The sequence below is a fragment of the Homo sapiens genome, chromosome X (genome assembly GCF_000001405.40).
Source record: "Homo sapiens chromosome X, GRCh38.p14 Primary Assembly".
In the NCBI taxonomy this organism is placed as follows: Eukaryota; Metazoa; Chordata; class Mammalia; order Primates; family Hominidae; genus Homo; species Homo sapiens.
In genome coordinates this window covers 148,650,243-148,672,935 of record NC_000023.11, presented here as the reverse complement: position 1 = coordinate 148,672,935, position 22,693 = coordinate 148,650,243, and the positions used below count along the sequence as shown (strand labels likewise).

General features: G+C 39.6%; 1 protein-coding gene across 5 annotated transcripts in view; it reads right to left on the bottom strand.

Annotated features, from left to right (window-relative positions):
* AFF2 (ALF transcription elongation factor 2) overlaps nt 1-22,693 on the bottom strand; it is a 500,047-nt gene that overhangs the window by 327,728 nt on the left and 149,626 nt on the right. For 3 of the 5 annotated variants that reach the window (NM_001169123.2, NM_001169122.2, NM_001169125.2), the window contains exons 2-3: nt 20,817-20,937; nt 10,168-11,028 (exon numbers count right to left, since the gene is read on the bottom strand). In NM_001169123.2, the coding sequence (NP_001162594.1) occupies nt 10,168-11,028; nt 20,817-20,937 (982 nt within the window). Of the gene's footprint in view, nt 1-10,167; nt 11,029-20,804; nt 20,938-22,693 lie in introns of all 5 variants that reach the window. The other 2 variants (NM_002025.4, NM_001169124.2) reach the window with 1 other exon arrangement.

Sequence of the window (22,693 nt, the reverse complement as noted above, 5' to 3'; positions counted from 1 at the left end):
CACTTTTTACTGACCTCTCATTTACATCTAAGGTTTCTCTTGAGGGTGGCTGTGTTTCAACCACAGAAATTTAGATTTTAGCTGTGTTGTCTGAGGATTTCTGATAAAGTCATCCCACTAAAGACACAAAAACTCAGAAACTTTATGAACCAAGAAAAAGTCCTCTAACAAGTTGTGTCATATGTTACTCATTTAGGAATATTGCAAAAACACTACTTCTCACCATATTTGTAAATGAAAAACACATGACTATAACCTGTAATACCACAAGAAAAATTGCTCTTTTTGGTGTGTTTGGTCCAGACTTTCGAAATATGAACCTAAGAAGGGAATTTTAACTTAAGCTGGATTCAGCTCATTATTCTCTTGCCCTTTACGTGCCAGTAGAGGAGCTACTTTTAGAAAATTAACCCATACATATACAGTAGCACACCATACACCAAATGCCACGTGGAAGTATCACTAAAAGCCTGGGTCCTGGTCCTGCCATAGCCATTTGCTGGCTGTGTGCCTTTAGGCAAGTGACGCTTAGCCTCTCCGAGACTAAGTTTCTGCAGAAAAGAAAATTATGATAATTCCAGACCCCATTAGAACTGGATCAAGATAAGACATATGAAGGCATTTGTAAACTACAAAGTATAAAGGTAACAGGTTTATGTTATTGGCACCTGTATTATAAACTCAAATCAAAGCATAGTTCACTTTAAAATGATGGTTAATTAGAGATTATTTTCTTTCATGTCAAATAGAAAATACCAAACAGACTTACAACTCCCATAAAGAGATTTATGACTTATGTCTAAAGCCCCTTGCATTTACTATTTGGGTTGAATCAATATGGTTATCTACCTTTCAATTTCTCTTATTCTTTCATGCAGAACGAGAGAAGTCTTTTTTTATGACTGGCTCAGAAAGTACTGAACTAATCGATATATCCAGTGATAACAAGATGATTTGGAACACACGTAACAAAAGCTTACCATTTTACTGCATACTGAATCTGTCAAAATATTTTCCTAGAAGTAATGTGAAAATAGGAGTTCTCTATCTTTCATTATTTTAGTGGGTGGTGACAAAAGGATTAGGAGGCTATGTGCTGAGTCTACAGTTTGGTACTTTCTGGTAAAATTCAGCATATAGCTGTTACCTTAAAAAAAAAAAAAGGTGAAATATAAGAATACCCCAGCTGAATTGGTAGTCAATCCCTAAAAAGATCCAATTTGAGTCTTCCCATATTTACCTAGTCTTACAAAGTCAGAAACTGTTCTGAATGTGTGCCGGCAGGGCTCAGATCCCTTCATGTTGTTCTACTGTGGATACTCCTAGAGGGTTATGGGTGGGGGAGATAATGGCTGAAATTACTATACAAACAAGATAGGTTTGGGCTTAACTACAAAGAGAAGATTTAGAGCTGTAAGCAACCCCACCAATGAGTTAGTCTAATCTCCTCATGTGACAAAAGCCCTAGAAAGGCAAAATAACTCTCTTAATTTTACAAACAAAGTTCAGGCCAGAAGAGAAACCCACATCTCAGTATACCTCATTAAAACTATGCTTTGCAATATTTCACACTTTCCAAAGTAGAGATTTATTTTCAACTGCCTCATGAAGAATCACTAAAATTATCAAATAGTGCTGTTTTAAATTGCATCATTATTAATAATGATGACAGAAATGTGTATAACATAAGAATTAAATTTTGTTAAAACAGAGTAAGAATAAATCAATCTTTTGGTTTCTTTCCAACCAAAAAAAGTGTTAAACAATGACAAAGGCTTTAAAAGCAAAGTGCACCAAGAAAGATGCACTGAAACCAAATACTCTGATCTACCTACACAATGGCATGTTGAAATCACTGACATTGTTTTAGGATGCTGATGGCTAGAACCACTTGCATACAGCCTTAGAAAAGAAAAAAAAATACATAGGAGAAAGAAGAGGACTTGAGGAAAAAGAAAGAAAAAAAATCCCAAGTATTTGCATACTCTTTAAGAAGCCATCCTTGAGAGCTATCTCTGGGTTTGACTAATGCCAATGAAAAAAATGGAGGAGAAAGGGGGTGAGCGGAGGACAAGGACTCCAAGGGAAGAAAAGTATGGTATAAAATAGCCAGTTCGGCATTACTTTAGAAAAATCCTTGGGGAAGCACACTGAAAAAGAATGGATGGTTACAAGAGAAGAATTGAGATGTCCTTTCTTGTAGGGAAGTAGAGAACAAACCTGGGAAAGCTCAGAAATTACTGCTTGAATTGATGATGGCAATGGTCTTGAGAGAATTCCTAGGTCTCCTAGGATGACAGGGAAAGTAACGTGCCAAGTTCAGCATTACACTCTGGTTGCCACATTGCCTACAAATTCAAGATAAGTGACAGTCTGGCTTTTGAGCTCTCTCACTTTGGTCCCACATACCCGCAGCTGCAGATAAACTGGCTTATCCTTAGAATATACTTCACATTTTACTCACTTCCCCTTTCTGTATATGCTATTATCTCTATCCATCACTAATATGACTAATATGCACACATATGAACTGCTCTCCAGATTCCTCTTGAACTACTCTAATACCACCCAATATTAAAGGCCAAGTTCAAAACAAACTTCCCATTCATTCTCTGTGAAACCCTCCCTGGTTACCTCTATGTGTCCCCGACTGACAAATCAGTCCTGCTATTGTGAGAATGGTCTCAGTCTCCCCTCCTCAGGACACCCTTCCTAATCACTTCTCTTTTAGCATCTCCAACCTTCCCATCACAAAGAATGCAAAGCCAGGTATTCTATTTGTATTACTATCAACTACACATGTTCAGTTGGAGACAACTTCATTTAGCTTAGGGAGACACTAAAGTTAGGGGAAATATGAAGAGAAAGTTAGGAGGAATATGATAAGAAAATGAATTTGAATACCAATGAGACCAGTGAGTTGGAAGAGTTAGTAAAAAAGCATAAACAAAATGCAACTACCAGGGGATGGACTAGCAGAGAAGAAGGTACAAAGCTTTCTAGATTCCACACAGCTATAAGACAAATACTAAGTTCAAGAGTCTTTTCTGGCACCCTAAAAGTATAAAGTTATCCCTTCATTTTGATGGGTTTGGAAATAGCCCAGATATAGCCTTGGACTCAGTACTATTGTATTTTCATAAGAATGCACAAAAAAATAAACTGGTGATATACCTCAAGTGATATGGTTTGGCTGTGTCCCCACCCAAATCTCATCTTGAATTGTAACTCCCACAATTCCCATGCTTCATGGGAGGAATCTGGTGGGATGTAATTGAATCATGGGGGCAGGTCTTTCCTGTGCTGTTCTCGTGATAGTCAGTAAGTCTCACGAGATCTGATGGTTATTATAAGGGGGAGTTTCCCTGCACAAGCTCTCTTCTCTTGTCTGTTGCCATGAGAAACGTGTCTTTAACTTACTGCTACAATTGTGAGGCCTCCCCAGCCACATGGAACTGTAAGTCCGTTAAATCTTTCTTTTGTAAACTGCCCAGTCTCAGATATGTCTTTATCGGCAGCATGAAAATGGACTAATACAGGAAATTGGTACCAGGAGTGGGGTGCTGCTGAAAAGATACATGAAAATGTGGAAGCAACTTTGGAACTGGGTAACAGGCAGAGATTGGGACAGTTTGGAGGGCTCAGAATAAGACAGAAAAATGCAGGAAAGTTTGGAACTTCCTAGAGACTTGTTGACTGTCTTTGACCAAAATGCTGATAATGATATGGACAATGAAATCCAGGGTGAGGTGGTCTCAGATGGAGATGAGTTACTTGTTGGGGACTGGAGCAAAGGTGACTCTTGTTACGTTTTAGCAAAGAGACTGGTGGCATTTTGCCCCAGCCCTAGAGACTTGTGGAACTTTGAACTTAAGAGAGATGATTTAGGGTACCTGGCAGAAGAAATTTCTATGCAGCAAAGCATTCAAGAGGGGGCTTGGGTGTTGTTAAAGGCATTCCATTTCAAAAGGGAAACACAGCATAAAAGTTTGGAAAATTTGCAGCTTGACAATGCAATAGAAAAGAAAATCACATTTTCTGAGGAGAAATTCAAGCTGGCTGCAGAAATTTGCATAAGTAACAAGGAGCCGAATGTTAACCCTCAAGACAATAGGGAAAATGTCTCCAGGGCATGTCAGAGGTCTTCACAGCAGCCCCTCCCATCACAGGCCAGGAGGCCTAGGAGGAAATGATGGTTTCATAGGCCAGGTCCAGGGCCCTCTGCTCTGTGCAGCCTAGGGACTTGGTACCCTGCATTCTAGTTGCTCCAGCCATGGCTAAAAGGGGCTAAGCTTGGGCTGTCATTTCAGAGAATGGAACCCAACATCTTGGCAGCTTCCACATGCTGTTGAGCCTGCAGGTGCAGAGAAGTCAAGAACTGACGTTTGGGAACCTCCACCTAGATTTCAGAGGATGTATGGAAATGCCTGGATACCCAGGCAGAAGTTCACTGCAGAGGCGGGGCCCCCATGGAGAACCTCTGCTAGGACAATGTGAAAGGGAAATGTGGGGTCAGAGCTGCCACAGAGTCCCTGTTGGGGCACCACCTAGTGGAGCTGTGAGAAGAAGGCCACCAACCTCCAGACCCCAGAATGGTAGATCCATCAACAGCTTGCACCATGCACCTGGAAAAGCCACAGACACTCAATGCCAGCCCATGAAAGCAGCCAGGAGGGGGGCTACGCCCTGCAAAGCCACAGGGGCAGAGCTGTCCAAGACCATGGGAACCCACCTCTTGCATCAGCATGACCTGGATGTGAGACATGGAGTCAAAGGAGATCATTTTGGAGCTTTAAGGTTTGACGGCCCTGCTGGATTTTGGACTTGCATGGGGCCTGTAGCCCCTTTGTTTTGGCCAATTTCTCCCATTTGGAATAGCTGTATTTACCCAATGCTTGTACCTCCATTGTATCCAGAAAGTAACTAACTTGCTTTTGAATTTATGGACTCATAAGCGGAAGGGACTTGCATTGATTCAGATTAGACTTTAGACTGTGGACTTTTGAGTTAATGCTGAAATGAGTTAAGACTTTGGGGTACTGTTGGGAAGGCATGATTGGATTTGAAATGTGAGGACATGAGATTTGGGAGGGGCTGGGGGTGGATTAATATGGTTTGGCTGTGTCCCCACCCAAATCTTATCTTGAATTGTAACTCCCATAATTCCCATGCTCTGTGGGAGGAACCCAATAGGAAGTAATTGAATCATGGGAGAAGGTCTTTGCTGTGATGTTCTCATGACAGTTACTAAGTATCACAAGGTCTGATGGTTATTATAAGGGGGAGTTTCCCTGCACAAGCTCTCCTCTCTTGTCTGCCATAATGTGAGATATGCCTCTCACCTTCCACCATGATTGTGAGGCCTCCCCAGCCACGTGGAACTGTAAGTCCATTAAATATCTTTCTTTTGTAAATGCCCAGACTCAGGTACGTCTTTATCAGCAGCATGAAAACAGACTAATACATCAAGTGAAAAATTCTTAGCATGAGTTGTAAACAGCAACTGGATGGCCTTCCATTCATTGAAGCAGCTGTCTCTTTTCTGTGTAGCTGCATGGACATATCTAGAACATCAATGGTAATATCCTAGCATTCTCTGCAGTTCTCACACAAGGGACCTGAGTTTACTATCTAACTCACAATAAATAAAGGTAATTATACTCACAGTGTTCACTGCATAGGGTGTGAAACAAAACAGGCACAGTCACAAATGTGAGCAATAATTTTTCAGCTGGTTGACAAAGCTAACCACTAAAATAAGCTACAGACAAATCCCACACCATTTCTATTAAAGTTTTCTAAGGCCACTAGTTTTGTGGCAATTGGAGCCTCAGATAGCCTTAGATCACAGCCAAGAGCAGCATGTAAAGCAAATGACCCTTTAGGGATATGACACTCTACACGTTAGTTTTGTACTTTCAAAAGCTTACTGACTTAGGATGGAGACATTTAATATGTGATATCAATCCTTTCATGTGCATGTGATTATTTACTTGGCAAGCTATACTAATAACAAATTGCACCAAAATGCAGAGCTGTCTACACCAGCAGATTTTTATCCTAAGGTAAAAATGAACAAAAATTTCTGTAAAGAAATGTATAAAGCTACGTTTATTAACAAATTCATTTCCTAATAAAGCACCATCTGCAAGCAACCCTCAGTTTCCACTTGATATAAATAGGCCTTTTACTGTTTTCAGATGCAGTTCCGAGAAAATTCTTCTAAACCCAACTGCAGAACACATCAGCATTTTGTTGTTGTTGTTGCCAGGAATGTTAATAAACTCTATGACATGAAGTTTTGTTATTTATTTATTTATTTATTTATTTATTTATTTATTTATTTATTTTTGAGACAGAGTCTAGCTTTGTCACCGGGCTGGAGTGCAGTGGTGCAACCTCGGCTCACTGCAACCTCTGCCTCCCGGGTTCAAGCTATTCTCCTGCCTCAGCCTCCCGAGTAGCTGGGACTACAGGTGTGTGCCACCATGGCCAGCTATTTTTTGTATTTTTGGTAGAGATGGGGTTTCACCATGTTGGCCAGGATGGTCTAGATCTCTTGACTTCATGATCCGCCCATCTCAACCTCCCAAAGTGCTGGGATTACAGGCGTGAGCCACTGCACCCGGCCAACAGAAAGTTTTTAAACAAATTATTTGTTAAAATGACATGCCTCAATTGAAAAGCTGACCTTTTGCAATAAAGTTGGTTATACTTCTAATATCCTTATTGTTGATACAGAAATTCTAAGAAGCATGGAAATGATTCAAGGATAAAAAATAAAAATTTCCCCACTATATACTCAACATGTGGACACATAAACAAACATGGGCACACACACTTGCACATCACATTTCAATAATAGTTTGTGATCTCTCAATTCATAAATATAATGTTATCTGCTTATTTGTATAGCTTAGAATGTTGTCTGTTTTCTGGCCATTCAACCCATCCTGCTTCACCCTCCCCACAAATGCACTTCACTAACACTCATCAACCTCCTGTCACTAAAGCCAGGGAAAAAGTTGAGAATACTCAAAGAAATACTGTGATTGCTCCACGGATAAGCCTTTTTGGTAATAACTCAGAGTAATGCTACCACTCATCAAAGATGGCTACACTGACTAGAGACCCGGAACCTAGTGCCTGAAACTCCTTGGCGCCAGGAACTGGGGCTGAATTCTAATGCTAAGTGCTTTTGAAAAGTGCATCAAGATTTAATAGGGTGAATTTTCAGACTTGGTCAGAGTTTTAGCCACATAAATTCCATTAGGTTCAAAGCTCCATAATGCTCCTCCCTGTCTATATTTATGCCCGCATTTTAATCTGCACCCTTCTAAGCTCTCTTGTTGGGCCGTGTAACCTCTCTTTTCCTTTCCTCCTATTTTTGGTTTTCACATTACCCTTGGGTTCTGTATATGCCCCTGACTTTAGGGCTTTAAGCTTCTCTCTACTCTTCTGTCAAATCCTTCCTTGAAACCCATATTTTAAAATAAGTACTTTCTTCACTGATCTCCTATCATGACTTTATTGCACCTGGCCCATTTTTCATACAGAGCTCTAGCAAGGTCTGTTTGTACCATCACCAAAGGCTGCAAGCACATAGGCTGCTCCTGGGATAATCGTCTCCAGAGCTGATGACAGCTCAGACTGTCTTTGAAAATGTACCTCTCGTTGGTGTGCCAGAGCACTGAGTGAAAGCATGAAGTCATTTCTGAATCTGGGTCAGCCATTTTGTGAATGTATAAGAGAGAGAATTACAACAGGGTGGATTTCGCTGGGTCTGTGATTTGTCACTCTACTAATGAGGTATGGAAACAGGCTGACAGACTGCTTTATGGGGCAGTGCTATTTCCAGATCAGTTCTGGCTGTGTAAGGAGGGAACAGCAGCAGATACCAGGGCAAAAGAAGAAACAAGAATGATATCCCCACCTCCCATTATACTTGTACTTTTTCAAAGCAGATCTCTTTTTTGATTTTTAAGTATTAAAGCCTGTATTAAGTCATTCAGTAGAAATTATGGCTAGGATTTCTCAATGACAGAACAGGAGCAGAGCAGAGTAAGAAACAGGCAGACAGAATACAACTGAAAAAGATATAACTCATGATGGATTTCCTAGCAATTGTTCACATTTGTGCATGTTATTTGATTAACATTGTGGCTTAGAAAATGTAATCAAGTAACCATTTTTGAAATTCATTCATTCAACAAACATTTATTGAGTATCTACTATGTGCTAAGTATTTGCTAGGCGCTTGGGATACAGAGAGAATGAGGTATTCCTTGCTCTTAGTGAGCTCACAGTCTAGTAGAGGAGATAGAAACATAACTAAATCACTACAATACAATGGAGTCGGTGCCAATCAGGGCATATAGAAGGTGCTAGAGGAGCCAAGACAAAGGGGTTTTTAATTAAGCTGAGGGGATCAGGGAAGCTTTCACAGAGAAGGTGACAACTGACCAGACCTGAAGGAGAAACAGGACTTTACCAGGAAGACAAGGGAGGGTGGGGAAAGACATTCTAGGCTGAGGGGACAGCAAGCCAAAAAGCAAGGAAGCGTGATAAAGCATGACATGACAGGGAACCACAGGTAGTCCCATATGGCTGGGATTTCAACTGCACATGAAGAAGTAGTGAAATATGTGGCCAAAAAAGGAGTATGAAACTAAAGGGTGAAGAGCCTTGTATGTGTGACTAAGAAATTTGGACTTTTCCCTGGAAGTGATGAGAAGGTACTGAATAATCAAAAGCAGGGAGTGACATGGTCAGATCTGCCTGTTAGATGAGCCTGCATGGATGGTATGGAAGAGAGGTGAGACTAGAGGGAAGGAGACCAGTCAAGAGGGGCTCTCACAGCAGTCCACTGAAGGCTCACAGGTGGTTCAAAGGCAGTGGGGGTAGAGATGACAGACTGGAGAGATACTTAAGAGGAAGCTTGACAAGACTTGATGAATGATGATACAAAAAGCAAAACTGCCTCAGAAATGAAACAATATTAAAAACATACATTCAGAAAATATAGTCAACAGCCCCAGGCCTCCCTCCCTTTATGTTCCCATCGTCCTCTGAAATCACCGCATCTGCTGAGGATAAATAAAGGAAGGAGAGCCAGGGTGCTTATAGGGTCACACTTCTCTAACTCAGATACCACTAACTTGGAATCTACAACCATTCAGACAGACTGCCTGTCACTCCTATTGAGTAAGAATTTAACCCTACTTTCTTCCTCTGTGTTATTTCAAGCCTTTAGTCACCAGTGACAGGAATCCAATCTAAAGGCAGTGGCTTCTTCCAATCAAACGCTTGAGGTGCAGTAGACAGCCGCTTACATGGTAGTGTCTGAGAGGCAGCACCATGCATGACCCCCACCCAGGGGCCACAAGGCCTGGAATCCAATCATTAGCGATTCATTCCTTAGAAGAGGCTTTGGTGCCTCTGGACTTCTCTTTTACAAGGCAATGATTCCTGAGATGGGTAGGATATTTACTCATTCTAAACCAGTGGGCTTTTGGTTGCTCGTAATGCTTTTTGCTTTGACAGAAAGGATGAAAGTAGAATAAAAGGGCTATGTAGATACCTGTGGAGGAAGGAGATGCAGAAGGGAAGATTGATGGATACGGGAGAAAACATTAAGATCTTGCCAAGGAATAGCTCTGTAATCACTCAAGAAACTAAAATTCTTAAAGAACGCCTTCTACTTCAGGTTCCAGCAAACCACAGTTCTACATTCTTCTACTTTAAGGAACTTCTGTATTTTAGGTTTAGAATATGCTACTGAGTAGTGAAGGCATATAGTGACTCGCAATCTTCTCATGAACCTCATACTACTTATGACCAATTATAATCTCAAATGTTATTAATTTATACATAGTATTACCACAACTGTATTTTATGAAACTATTTTATAACTCCAACTTGTCATTCTTTCAGTCAGACCGACCTTGTCTTCTGTCATTCCAAATTATTGAGATTTAACTCTATTTGCAGCGTGTTAATCAGTTATGTCACAAGTGACAGAAGATCAAAATTCAGACCCTGAACTTGAAGAGTATCCTATACAGCTCATTAAGGTAAATGAGAGCTGCTTGTGAATACTGGATTATAGAGGTTAGAGCAGAGAACTAAAAAAAAGTGAAACCAAACAAAACTTTAAAAATTACTTACTTCACTTGTTTGGAGGATGGTGAACTTTGGCAGTTTAGTCTTTGAACTGGCTGCACTGGGTTTTCCATCCAAGAGTGTTCCAAATGACAGATTCCCAAAGCTGTTCTCAAATTCAATTGAAGGTTTCAGTGTTGGTGAGATGTCCGGTGCCTGGTCCTGGCCATCCATGGGTCTGACGTATGCAGTTGGCTTTTGCTGCCCCATGCTTGTTTTGCAGTAAAGCCCTGGTGGGAAGTTTTGAACTGAAAGGCCACTGCTAGGAGCTAATAAAGAGGAAGCCACTAGGGGAGACCCAGGCGCTTGCACGGCGAATTCAGATTCTTCCGGTGAATTGGATTGAAAGATTTCTTTGAAAGCATCTTCTCCACTAGAATTAGGGTTACTGTCTTCCTTTGCAGATGGGTTTGACTCTTCAACTTCTCCAATCTGGGGCTGTTCAGCTGGGTAGACAAAGAAGTCTTCCAGTTTGGCTTGAGACTGGTCCTGTGTCAAAGTCTGCATCTTGTTTGGCTGACCACTGGCCTGGCTTGCCAGTACAGTGCTAGGGTTATGACTATCACGTGACCACTCAGGTTTTGATTTTCTGTTGCTGTGTATTAGAGTTGAATTCAGTATCACAACAGAAGGTGGAGGCATTGGTGCTGAAGGATGGGTATTATCCTGGTGAGGTGGAATTATTCTGTTCTTTTGTTCTGGAAAAAAGCTTGGTTCATTTTTGTTGTTGGGATTCTGGGGCACAGAATTCTTTGGAATTCCCACTAGGTGATTCTGATTAGAATGGTTAGTTAGCAAATTCTTCATTTCATCATAGTTTCCAAGCGTGTTCTGGACTCGGTTGGCAAGTGCATCACCTTTGTTTGTCTAAAATAACAAAAAGATGGGGGTGGGAGGAGAGAGAATGAATAGGTTTGTGTTTCCTAATGTTAATGTTTCAAACAGATGCCCTAAGTAGACTATCATACGGGATTCTTTAAATATGTCTTGCTGCCATATAATTTCATGCTTTTCATGTGCTATGTAAGAAAAAAAATCAAGAACACTATTGAAAAAGCTTCTGGAATGAGCGGGTATGATTAACATTTTTATACTCCCTAGCCAGTCCTTAAACATGTTCATTGAGAAAAACTTTTAAATTACATCATTTATTAATTTTATTAGAAAAATAACTTATTCTGTGACAGATGAGCTGAATTGCTACATTCTACATTGTGATTAACAACTTCTGCTTACCAATCATTGGAGTTATAATGGAATTTTCTACCTATATAAATTTTTGACATATCAGCCTTTGCACCACATTATACCATGAAAAAGGCTTAGGCTATTGGATAAGAAAATCAGTTAAATTGTGCTACCATGACTATAATAAGTTTAGGACAGGAATGGAATTAAACAGCATCTAATTGAGCTAACTCATGATTAAAATGAATCTGATTCCTTCTAATCAAAGAACTGTATGAATTACTAGTGTTTGCCTGTATATTCTGGAATGACTGTGTTTACATATTGATGATTCATACTCATTTACTTTGAAATGATGCAATTGTTCATCAACAGTGACTCAAGCCCTTCTGTGTCTTTTCAATGATTAAGGAAAATTTATTCAAGTATTTAAACTGTTGTTTAAGGAAACCAAAACAAAGTTATCTTTTCAAAGTGATGTTAGCCTAATGTATAGCAGTTAGAGAGGCAACCAACTCATTTTATGGACAATCAGTATACCAGCTACACCACCCCCTGTAGGATGTATTGGTTCTATTAAAATGGCTGTGATTGTTTTTAAAATAATTATGCTCCTGCATGGGTTTTTGTAATACAGAAAGCAAAGTTATCATGACTAAAAAATGGTGGGTAGCTGTATACTTGGAAATGACTTTGATGAAAGCTCAGTTGATCACCCCCAAAAGTGACTTTCTTTATTCTCTTTATATGCCAAAGAGTTTATCAAAACAAGCTGCTGAATTCAGAAAGCCAAAGGACCTTTTTGTACCTAGGCTGCACTATCCTGGCCCAAGATGTTGCAATGATAGAAGGCTACCAGTATTCAAGGAGCCATCTGGCAACTGGGCCACTGGATGGGAAAAATACCACCCTATGTGGCCTTCAAGTCCCAGAAGCCATGGGCACATTTTCAGTGCACAGGAGGGAGTGACCATCTAACCATTGGTACACTCTCTGCTGAAGATAGTTGTTTAACATCTAAGATTTTTCACATGCCCTTAACACAGCCCAGTCTCCTAGTGTACACAGGGAGTATACCTATCCAGCGCTAGCATCTCAGTCTAAGGCTGTGTGTTTTCCTTTGTATGTGAAGATGGGAGGATATGCAGATGGCTAGAGGGCGAAGTGCTAGAAATGGGTGAAGTCGTCTGGGGAAAGAAAACATAGAATGAGAAGATACGGATTGGCAGAGAACCCTGGCAAGCATCAACCTTTAAGAGACTGAGAGAAGATGAGGAACCAGCAAACGATACCAAGAAGGAACAGAGAGAGAATCAAACCAGTAATCTTGGCCTCATTATCAGCACCATCTCCATATACCGTAAAAAGTATTTAACTCATACTATGTGTGTGTGAAACCATATGAGACACTTCCAAAGAAATGAGGGCAATAGGAGAAATATAAATTTCAAAGATTAAGGAAAAGTATGCTAAACATATGCTAAGGGAGCTCTGTCAGGGACAGATATTTTTAGAAGTCAAATAACTATATGTCAATTTTAGTTTGCTTATCCTCCAATCATATATTGTATCATACGCAACCTTAGTACTGAAGTAGTGATTAAACAATTAACATTCTGTATAATCCTCAGCTGAATAATCACTCTGTTTTCAAAAGTACATCTGAAAGATATATTTAAAAGTTATAGATGGGTAGAAGTCACTTTTATTTCCTAAAAGTCTCTAGGTTTGTCATTTTTAATGGCAGGAATTACTTTTTAGCCCAGACAAGAATAAACTCTTTGTATATAGTGGTCTCCTTCAACTGAGTTGCACAATGAACCACATGGACAGTAGCCAAAACCAGGCTCCCTGTTCAATCTCTAAATTTAAAACAAAGAAATTTCATTGTGCTGAGGGTCCAACAAGAATCTGATGCAAGCTTTAAACATTTGTAGGTTGTTTTGGCCTGTCAAACAGATTACCTCTTGGGTCAGATGTTTGCCTCATGAACAGTGATATCTGGCCATATTCAATGATCTGACTCAACAAGGGAAAACAACACCATTTCACTTCCCATTGGAATGCCTTCATTTCATTATCTGGCTTTCACAGAAACAGAGCTCTGCAAAATCAGAACCTTCTCCCTAGGTGTCATAGAGACCACTGTAATACCTCCATGCCCTGAAAAGTCATTGTAGTCTCCTTAGGGAAACACAATCAGGACTCAAGAATGTGAAAGCTCATTTGCTTACAAGCAAGCTAGTCAAATTCCTGTTCTTGTTTCAGGAGTAAATAAAAGAGGTTCATCTTGTCCTCAGTAGGGAGAACCTTGCCTACTTTGTAATGTCTCTTCATTGACATTTACTTATAATGATCTGGGTTTCTGAAGCAAGCTTAGATATAGTTTTCCATATCTAGGTTTTAAAAATATACTTGAAATTAAAAGAATTTCTAAACTGGCCAATGTCTAACACTGTGTCTATGTGAACAAAATTAGAGGAAAATTGAAATTTCTCTCAATAAGTCTGGAAAATCAACCTTCTACTACACAGTGTATACTACACTTATGATATCTTTCCTTGAATAAAACCATGAGTTCTTAAAGGTCAGAGACTACATTTCACTTATTTTTATATACCCAAGATGTAGCACCATGTCTTGTGCTAATCAAATACTCAATACATTTTTACAGAATTGAACAGGATAAATTAAAATTCATACCCTGTCTATATCAAAATAAAGAATTTGCAATGGCTGAAGTCAAAGGTACATAATAGAAGGCAAAAATCAGGCTAACTTCGTTACTATGATTGAACATTAAATTGAACTTTGAGTTTCCTGGTAGCTAAGGCAAAAAGGAAAAGCTCGTAGGTTATAGAATTATCTTTCATCGAAAGAAGCATATCCTAATTCATTAAATGAGACAAATGTTGTCTGATAATAAAATGTGAAAAGGAATTCCTCTCACTGATATTTTTACAAGAACACTTGAGCAATGTAACACTTTTTGGGGCCTCATTTTCCAAAATGATGCAAATATGTCTTCATGTGGCTTTTTCTTATGATGACTAACTCAGTGAAAGCCTGCCTGCATGTGGACTTAGAGGTCTAGGCTAATACAATCCAGGCGTGCAGCTTTCTTGCACAGTAATGACACAGGAGTGAAGCTGTGATAACCTGGAGAAATAGAGGGATGTCATCTCCCTTAGACTAGTTTCCTCATAGAGCAATTGTCTCAGAAGGAAGGACGTGTGACAGGAAATGTATAGCACACAGTTCAAGGTTGAGTTCACTGGTGATGCTTTCTGAGTTGCTGATTGAAGGAAGATCCATATGGTTTGCATAACAGATGTTCTGTGGCTACAAGTAGGAATTATTGTAGTAGTTCTTAAGACAGACACTGGTAAATTTGAGACCCTCCTGAGGCAGGGTTACGCACAGAGGACACATGGACACAGAGCCTCAAGAAGTTCACCATTCAACAATCAGCACATAATTAGTAGTCCAGTCCAGGTCGCCAGAGTAAGCACTCTACCTTCCCACCACTGGAGGTGGGTAACTGTCAATCAGCTTTTAAATTTCTCAAGATGGAGATATGAGAACCACTGGATAGAAAACCCAATGGGGCCTGAAATACATTTATACACACCTACACAATGTACTCTCATTATACACCATAGCAACTTCTGATTCATACTAAATGTTCTTTTTCACCCTCCAGAGTCTTAGTAATCCTATTAAGGAACAAAATATTCTTGGTAATCTTGATTGAACATTATAAACATGACAAAAATGAAATTCAGCCATTTCAATCAATTATATGCTTCTTTCAATTTGGCTAATTATTTACTTCCTGGTCTAGATAATTGGTTGATTCTTTAAAGGTAACCTCTGCAGCCATTATTTTCTAAGCAATCACAATTTCTCTATCATCAGGAAATGCATTTTCCAAGTATTTTCAGGCATAAATTACATGTCTGGTTTGTGGCTCATGACTAACAGCATTCCCTCATTTAAGTTTTTTTGCCTCTCATTACTTCAGGAAATGCAAACTTCCCTCAGTTTGTTTCTAATGCTATCTACAAATCAGTAGTATAATTTCATTGCATGCAAGACTAATGTGCTAGGAGGCTATTGTACCATAGTATTTCTTTTTAATACAAGTAGCAAAATAATTCAAGTTTTGAAGCGCATTTTTTTCTTTTATTTTATTGTGGCTAACATGTGATTTAGTAATTTGTCTTTTTCTAATTCTAGTATTTTTGCAGTTAATCTCTCTAAGCTCTAAGTTTCTATTTCCTTCTTTACTCTAATTATAATAAAGATAATACCTGAATTTGTGTAGCACCTTACAGATTTCAAAGCAAGGTTTCCCAGGTTATTTCATGTGATCCTTAAAACAACCATGTGAGTCAGCAGAGTAGCTCTGGCCTCCATCTGGCCTCTACCTCTATGTGTCCCAACACAAATGACCTTGGGTAAGCCATTTAATAATCCTCTGTGCACCTCAGTTTCCTCATTCTCATTGGGCTATGAAGAGCCATAAAATATTACTATTCTTATTAATTACTATGATTCAATCCAGAAAGGAAAAAGAAAACCTATGGATCAGAGAAAGGGAGTTTCTTCTCCACCATCACCCAGCAGGTAAGCTTATCAAGTATTCTGACATCCTGTCAGAGGATAAATAACTTCCTGTTACAGATACGGAATCATACAGAACTGGATGCAAGGTCTAAATTCGCCATGTATAAGGATATGAAAATGCAAAGAAGCCATCTCGCTTCTCTGAGTTAAAATTCCTCGGCCGGGCGCGGTGGCTCACGCCTGTAATCCCAGCACTTTGGGAGGCCGAGGCGGGCGGATCACGAGGTCAGGAGATCGAGACCATCCCGGCTAAAACGGTGAAACCCCGTCTCTACTAAAAAATACAAAAAATTAGCCGGGCGTAGTGGCGGGCGCCTGTAGTCCCAGCTACTTGGGAGGCTGAGGCAGGAGAATGGCGTGAACCCGGGAGGCGGAGCTTGCAGTGAGCCGAGATCCCGCCACTGCACTCCAGCCTGGGCGACAGAGCGAGACTCCGTCTCAAAAAAAAAAAAAAAAAAAAAAAATTCCTCATGGAAAACATGGGAAAGTTGCATACCCCAGTTGTTATAAGGACTAAATGAACACACACATTGTTATAAGGACTAAATGAGCATACACATAAAACTCTAGCACAGTGCCTAGCAGACAGTAAGCTGGCATGCACTTGTTACATGCCAGTTCCTTACCAAACTTAGTGCACTAACCTAGACAAGTCAAATGGCTTCATATTTTTCAGGCACATTTGAAGACATCCTTCTCAAAAGCATAACACAAACTCCAATTTGAAAATCATATGCTACAAAAGCAGCCCAAGAGAGAAGTTCCCTATTACCAACCAAATCTAGGGGTGGTCAACATTCTCTCCATTCTGGCAGTGGTAGAGGCAAAGAAAAGAAGGGAAAGAAATTAGCCAGGAACATGAGAGATCACCATTTATCTTTCTGCCAAGAAAGGATAATAGGTCCTAGAGATCAGTGTTCATGTTGGCTAATTTATGAACCACTGGCGCTATTGGACAGGTGACTGGACCTTGTTTTAGGCTTCAGGGTAGCAAGAACTTTCCTGAAAGTCTTGACCCACCATCAGGAATGTTTATTCTAAATTTGATAAGCACTCCCACTGCTATCTTAGGGAAGAGCTGTGGTATGTCCTCGTTTCTACCAGTGGACCATGGGCCAGCTCTAGGACTCCCATGACCACTGGCATGTCCAGATACTCCAAGGATATCAAGCCCAGTCTTGGTCTGGGGAGCCTTATGGAGGTGCAACATCAGTTCTAGTACTCTGTTACTCCTCAGTGTTCTCCCAGGGAACCCTGAATGTGGATGCAGCTCAAGATAACAACCAATCATCAAAGCAAGGGTGAAAGAAAAATAATTATTAGGTCACCAATCACTAGCATTATTCTTTTCCTTCACAGTTTTGACTTAAGAACAAAGGTTTTGGCCAGGCGCAGTGGCTCACGCCTGTAATCCCAGCACTTTGGGAGGTCAAGGTGGGCAATCACCTGAGGCCAGGAGTTTGAGACCAGCCTTGCCAACATGGTGAAACCCCATCTCTACTAAGAATACAAAAATTAGTCGGACATGGTGGTGCACACCTGTAATTCCAGATACTTGGGAGGCTGAGGCAGGAGAATCACTTGAACATGGGAGGCAGAGGCTGCAGTAAGTCGCACTGCACTCTAGACTGGGCGATAGAGCGAGACTCCATCTCAGAAAAAAAAAAAAAAAGGACAAGGTTTTTCCCCATCAGGAAGCACAAAGGTAACAAGCTACTAATCACACAATAGGCCCTGCCCCACACTATACTAAATGTTCCCATCTATGTCTCTACTTGATGTACCCTTGTAATATCAAGACAGATGGCTTTCAAAACTTCTGAAAATGTTGATAACAGATTTTTTTCAACTGCCTACTCAAAAAGACACTGCTAACATTTAAAAAATGGATCTATATAACAGGCCTTGTGAAAAGATGGCATTTACCTTAAAGGTACAAGACCATCAATTCATCGTGACTTAAAATTATGAAGGGAGAATAAATCAAGAGTTCTCCACCTCATTATAATGTTGAGGATAGTGTGGACATTGGATTTTAAGAATAAACCTTTTGAGTAAAGCTCATTTTTCTAACCCATCCAAAGATAACATGTAAAACTTATCTCCTTATTCCTTCTTCAGCTTGAGAAAGGATAAGACACTTACCGTGCTTTGACCTCTCCTCCATTTTCTGCAGAAAATGGAGGCCCTGATTTCTTGCACTTCCCCAATCTTCCTTCCCCTCGCCTGCTTTGTTCTCATTCTAATGTTCTGTTCCCACCTTCTACCCTATAGCTCATGATTCCTCAACTGCTCTCCATCTTGTATTATTTTTAATCTCCTCCGGGACCTTGCTCAACTTAGCCTCACCTTTCTCTCCTGTATCTTCCACCTTCTCATTCACCATTGAAGTTATTTGCTTCCCATCAATCTCTAAACATGTTCACGTTTATCTCATTTTTCTAAAAAGCTTCCCTTTATATAATTCCTCCCTTTACTTTCTAACTTATCTTTCTTTCTTTTTTCCTCCATGCAAAACATTTCTTCAAGATCATATCTACATTGACTGTCTCGCTTTCTTTACTTAACCACTTCCCATTTATTCTCCAACCCCTGGCAGTTTGGCATCCCACAATGACCATTGTCATCAACAAATAAAACAACTCTCCATAAGGTCACCAATTACTCCTTAACTGCCAAATCCAAACAGCCACTTTAAAGTTCTTACCTTTCCTGACCTCTCTGAGGCACAGCAAATCCTTCCTTTGTTCCCTAGGTTTCTATTAAATTTTCTTTCCTAGTTCTCTTCCTATCACTCTGATCATTCCTTTGGAGTTTCCTTTCCTGGCCTCTGCTTTCACCACCTCTTTTACCCCTTAAATGGTGCTACTCCCAAGAATTGTTTGTCCTCTTTTTTACTCCATAATCTCTTCAGTGATGGTAGGCATTCTCACAGCTTCCACTGATACCTATAAGACAATAACAGCTAAACTTCTCCCTTGACCACTCCCATGAGTTTCAGACCCATATATCCAAGCCTTCTGGATAGCTCTCTCCTGATATCTCTCTAGCATCTCAAAGCCAACGCACTCAAAACTAAATTAATTGTTTTTTCTCTACAAGCAGCAACCATGTTCTCCTCCTGAACAAAACTTGTTCATGATACCACCACCCTCTCAAATAAAAAACTTGGGAACCATTAATTCTTATTCCATACTCCCCACATGCAATTAGATACCCAATTCCATAATTTCAACTTCCTTACTCTACCTTAAATCATTCCTGACATAAGCTCCCCTCATCAATTACAATAGCTTCTTTATCTTTCCTTAGTTTCCCCTCCCTCTGACCCACTGTCCACACTGCCCAACATCATCATTCTAAACTGTTCATTTTTCCTGGCCATACTATGACTTAAATATTTGTAATGATTTTTTTCATCATGTAAAAAATTATGTGCAAGCTCTTTATAATGAGTTTGAATACAAAGTCTTCGCTGATCTGTCCCTTGCTATCTCTCTGTTACCATGCAGGCATGCCATCACTGTGTCAAATGATCTCTGCCACTCGACTAGGAACTCCTTGAAAACAGAGACTATGCTATTCCTCTTTGTACACTGGTGTAAGGCAGTGACTAGCACATAGTAGACCTTCATAAATGTTTGTTAAACCAATTATATATCTAAATATATACCTTCAAAGTAGTATACAAATTAACCTGTTGATATGGGAACACTGCTTTTTTAGGGATCATACTATTACTGACAGATTGAAAACCAGTAGCTTAGGTGACCTAAGTTTCTTCATCAGGCTTACCAAACTTGAAAGTTCCTGCAGTGTCTCAATCAAGAGTTGCTTACTTGCTTTGAACAAGGTAACAAGAACCTGGTCTCACCAGTCACCAATCCAAATAGCTTACTCTCTACCCCAAAGTAGTATTTGGGCCTATGCTGTCTTCCTTAAGAACTTTCCTTTTCCAGAAGTCACTGTCCCTTAAAGGGTACTCTTCTAAAATCACAGCTCTTGAAAATTTTCTCTATTGTTGTACTTCTTACATCATTTTTATTACAGAAAATTACACTGCTACTGCATTTCAATAAAAACCAACCAGCTGCCAGCAATTCAATAAGATTCTTCCATCATAATCTCTTCCCAGTCGCCTCTCATCTCTACCCCAAATAGAAAGTTCAGAAGCAGTCATTGTAAAATCAATACTTGTAGACACAGCAGTTTGATGATTATTGGAGCTACACACTAGTCAGAATACCACTAGAAATTCAACCTAGCTATACTACCCCCCTCTGGTTGAGACAATCTTCTAACCCATGATTATTAACCACCAGGAAAAATGATTGGCTTTTTTCCTTTATTCTAGAACAATGATTTTCAAAGAGCACTCAAACCACTGAAGAGCTGCTAACAACCTAAAATGGAAAAGAAAAACAGTGGCCTTGCAATGGATGACACTGATTGGGAAAAGAAACAGACATCTCCATTGACATTCTGATGAAGTCTTCAGGAGCTGCCTACTGACAATCACAGCAGTAGAAAGTGTCAAGGGGGCATTCCTTGCTGTAGGAAGTGTTGGGCAGAGAGGGGCTCATTGGAGACAGGAAGTCTCACAAGTCTCTCTTCAATCATACTGTGCTCCCAAAAGAAGATGAAATTTGTTTCTGAAGACTTCGTCAGAAACTTGCAGTTGCCTCAAATACAGTGTATGTACAAATTTCACTTGTAAAATATATTCCCCTGGAAATGAGTTGGGTGCTTTAAACATAAATTAAATGTTGATTAGTGAGTTCAAAAATGTAACAAGCAACCATTTTCCAGAAAGAAAAATTACATACATATTCAGCTACCTTGTATGGCTCCCCAAAAAGATCAAAGCCTGAAGAAAAGAGATCGTCTTCTTGCTGGACTTCTTGATTCCTCCGCTCCCATTCCCTTTTTTTAAGTGCACTACGGTCTTGTTCATAGTGACTGATATGAAAAGGAAAAGACAAAAAGAGAAAAAGATTAATTAATCATGCAAGTCATTTAAATTTTCCTTGCTGTCAATAATAAGAAAAAAATTCAAGTCAACTTGCTGCCCAAGTTGACACTGCATAGAGAACAGATAATCCTTTTCATTACACCTATTGAGTTTAAGATCCTGACCAGCTCTTCAGAATAAAGAAGAAAACAAAAACTTGCTTATTTGAAATGATATTCATGACAAGCAAGTAAAGCAAAATCTCTTCCCTTGTCCTTTTTTGATTATTATAAGCAATTACATACTCCCCAAAAGTCAGCCCACAGTGCAGAAAGGTACTGAATTAAAGTTACATTGTGTTGCCAACTACCTAGGGCTCAGAATCCACAGATGTCACAAAGTCCTAAGGGAAAGGAATTATCAAAGTACGGAGCTGAAGATAAATTGGATTTCTGTCCTGAGCCCATAGCCAAAGTGAGCTTGTTTTGATGAACTCACAGGAGAATTTAAGGGCATTTTCAGAAGTCCACAAAAAAATAAATCACCAAATCACCTACACTTCTTTGTGTTTGGTTGTTGTGGTGTTGGTCTTCTCACAGTTTTCTTCAAAAGTGAATGGAAGCCTTTTTGAGAAACTCTTCACAAAAAAAGGGGTCTGACTTGAATAACAAATGACTAACTGTGGATGAAAAAAAGGAGGTGTCAAAAGCCTTTAATGACCTCAACGAACAAATGTTTTATAAAGACTAACTGTGACTCTCATCACATTTCAGGCTTTCCCATTGGAGGATCAAAAGCTTCTAAACAATATTTAAGATATATTCCAGGCCTTCTGGTTTTATGGAATGGAATGCTTCCTTATTAAGAAAACAATTATTTTCTTCATCATGCAAGACTGCAAATTAAGCCATAATCTAAGTCTCGTAGTGGTGTATCTTATTTTATTCACTGGGCTTTTTTCATGCTTTTGATGTTAACCTTACCCAAAGTGAGTATATATACACTGAGCAAATTTAAATTACATAAATGTACATAAAATGCCTAGCAGGTGTTGGATAAATGTTGGTTTCCTTCCCCATGTTAATAGTCCCATGTTAAGACTTAATTAGATAATTGACATGCAAATGAACATAATAGCTAAAGGAATTATAAGAGATCTACTGATATAAAACTACAGTTGACAGGCTTTGACTATATCCGAAACCTTAATACCTGTCATTGGTAGGCTAGTTTGCTCAAAGAACCTAGAACATAAACTATCTGTGCAGCTTAACTAGATGTTGATAAACATGGAGTGTACAATGCCACTACACTTAATCATCCACTTTTCTTCACAGGAATCCTTGAATGGTCAAATTCAAAGTGACTTTGATAACTTTATCTCCTGGATAAAGAACACTCATTTCTCCATTAAAAAACAGCAACAACATTTATAGGATGTTTAAATGCACATTACACTTTCATAATACAAACGTCAGATACATTAAAGCTCACTGGACCATTCATGAGTATATTCAGCAAATGTTATCACTGTCTGAGTAAAGCAAAGAAAACCTTCAGAGTCCTACCCAAAGCCAGGGCCCCATATCTAGGCCTTGCCTGGTCAAGGAAGATATCAAGTCCAGATACTGGAAGCCAGGCTATTATTTGTAGTCTCAGATGCCCTCCATAGGTATTAGATTTTCTAGCATCATCTTTCATTTCCATTCACAAGTTGAACTCAGAACCCCAAACAATTGTTGTGTGTCTCAATGTCTCCATGTT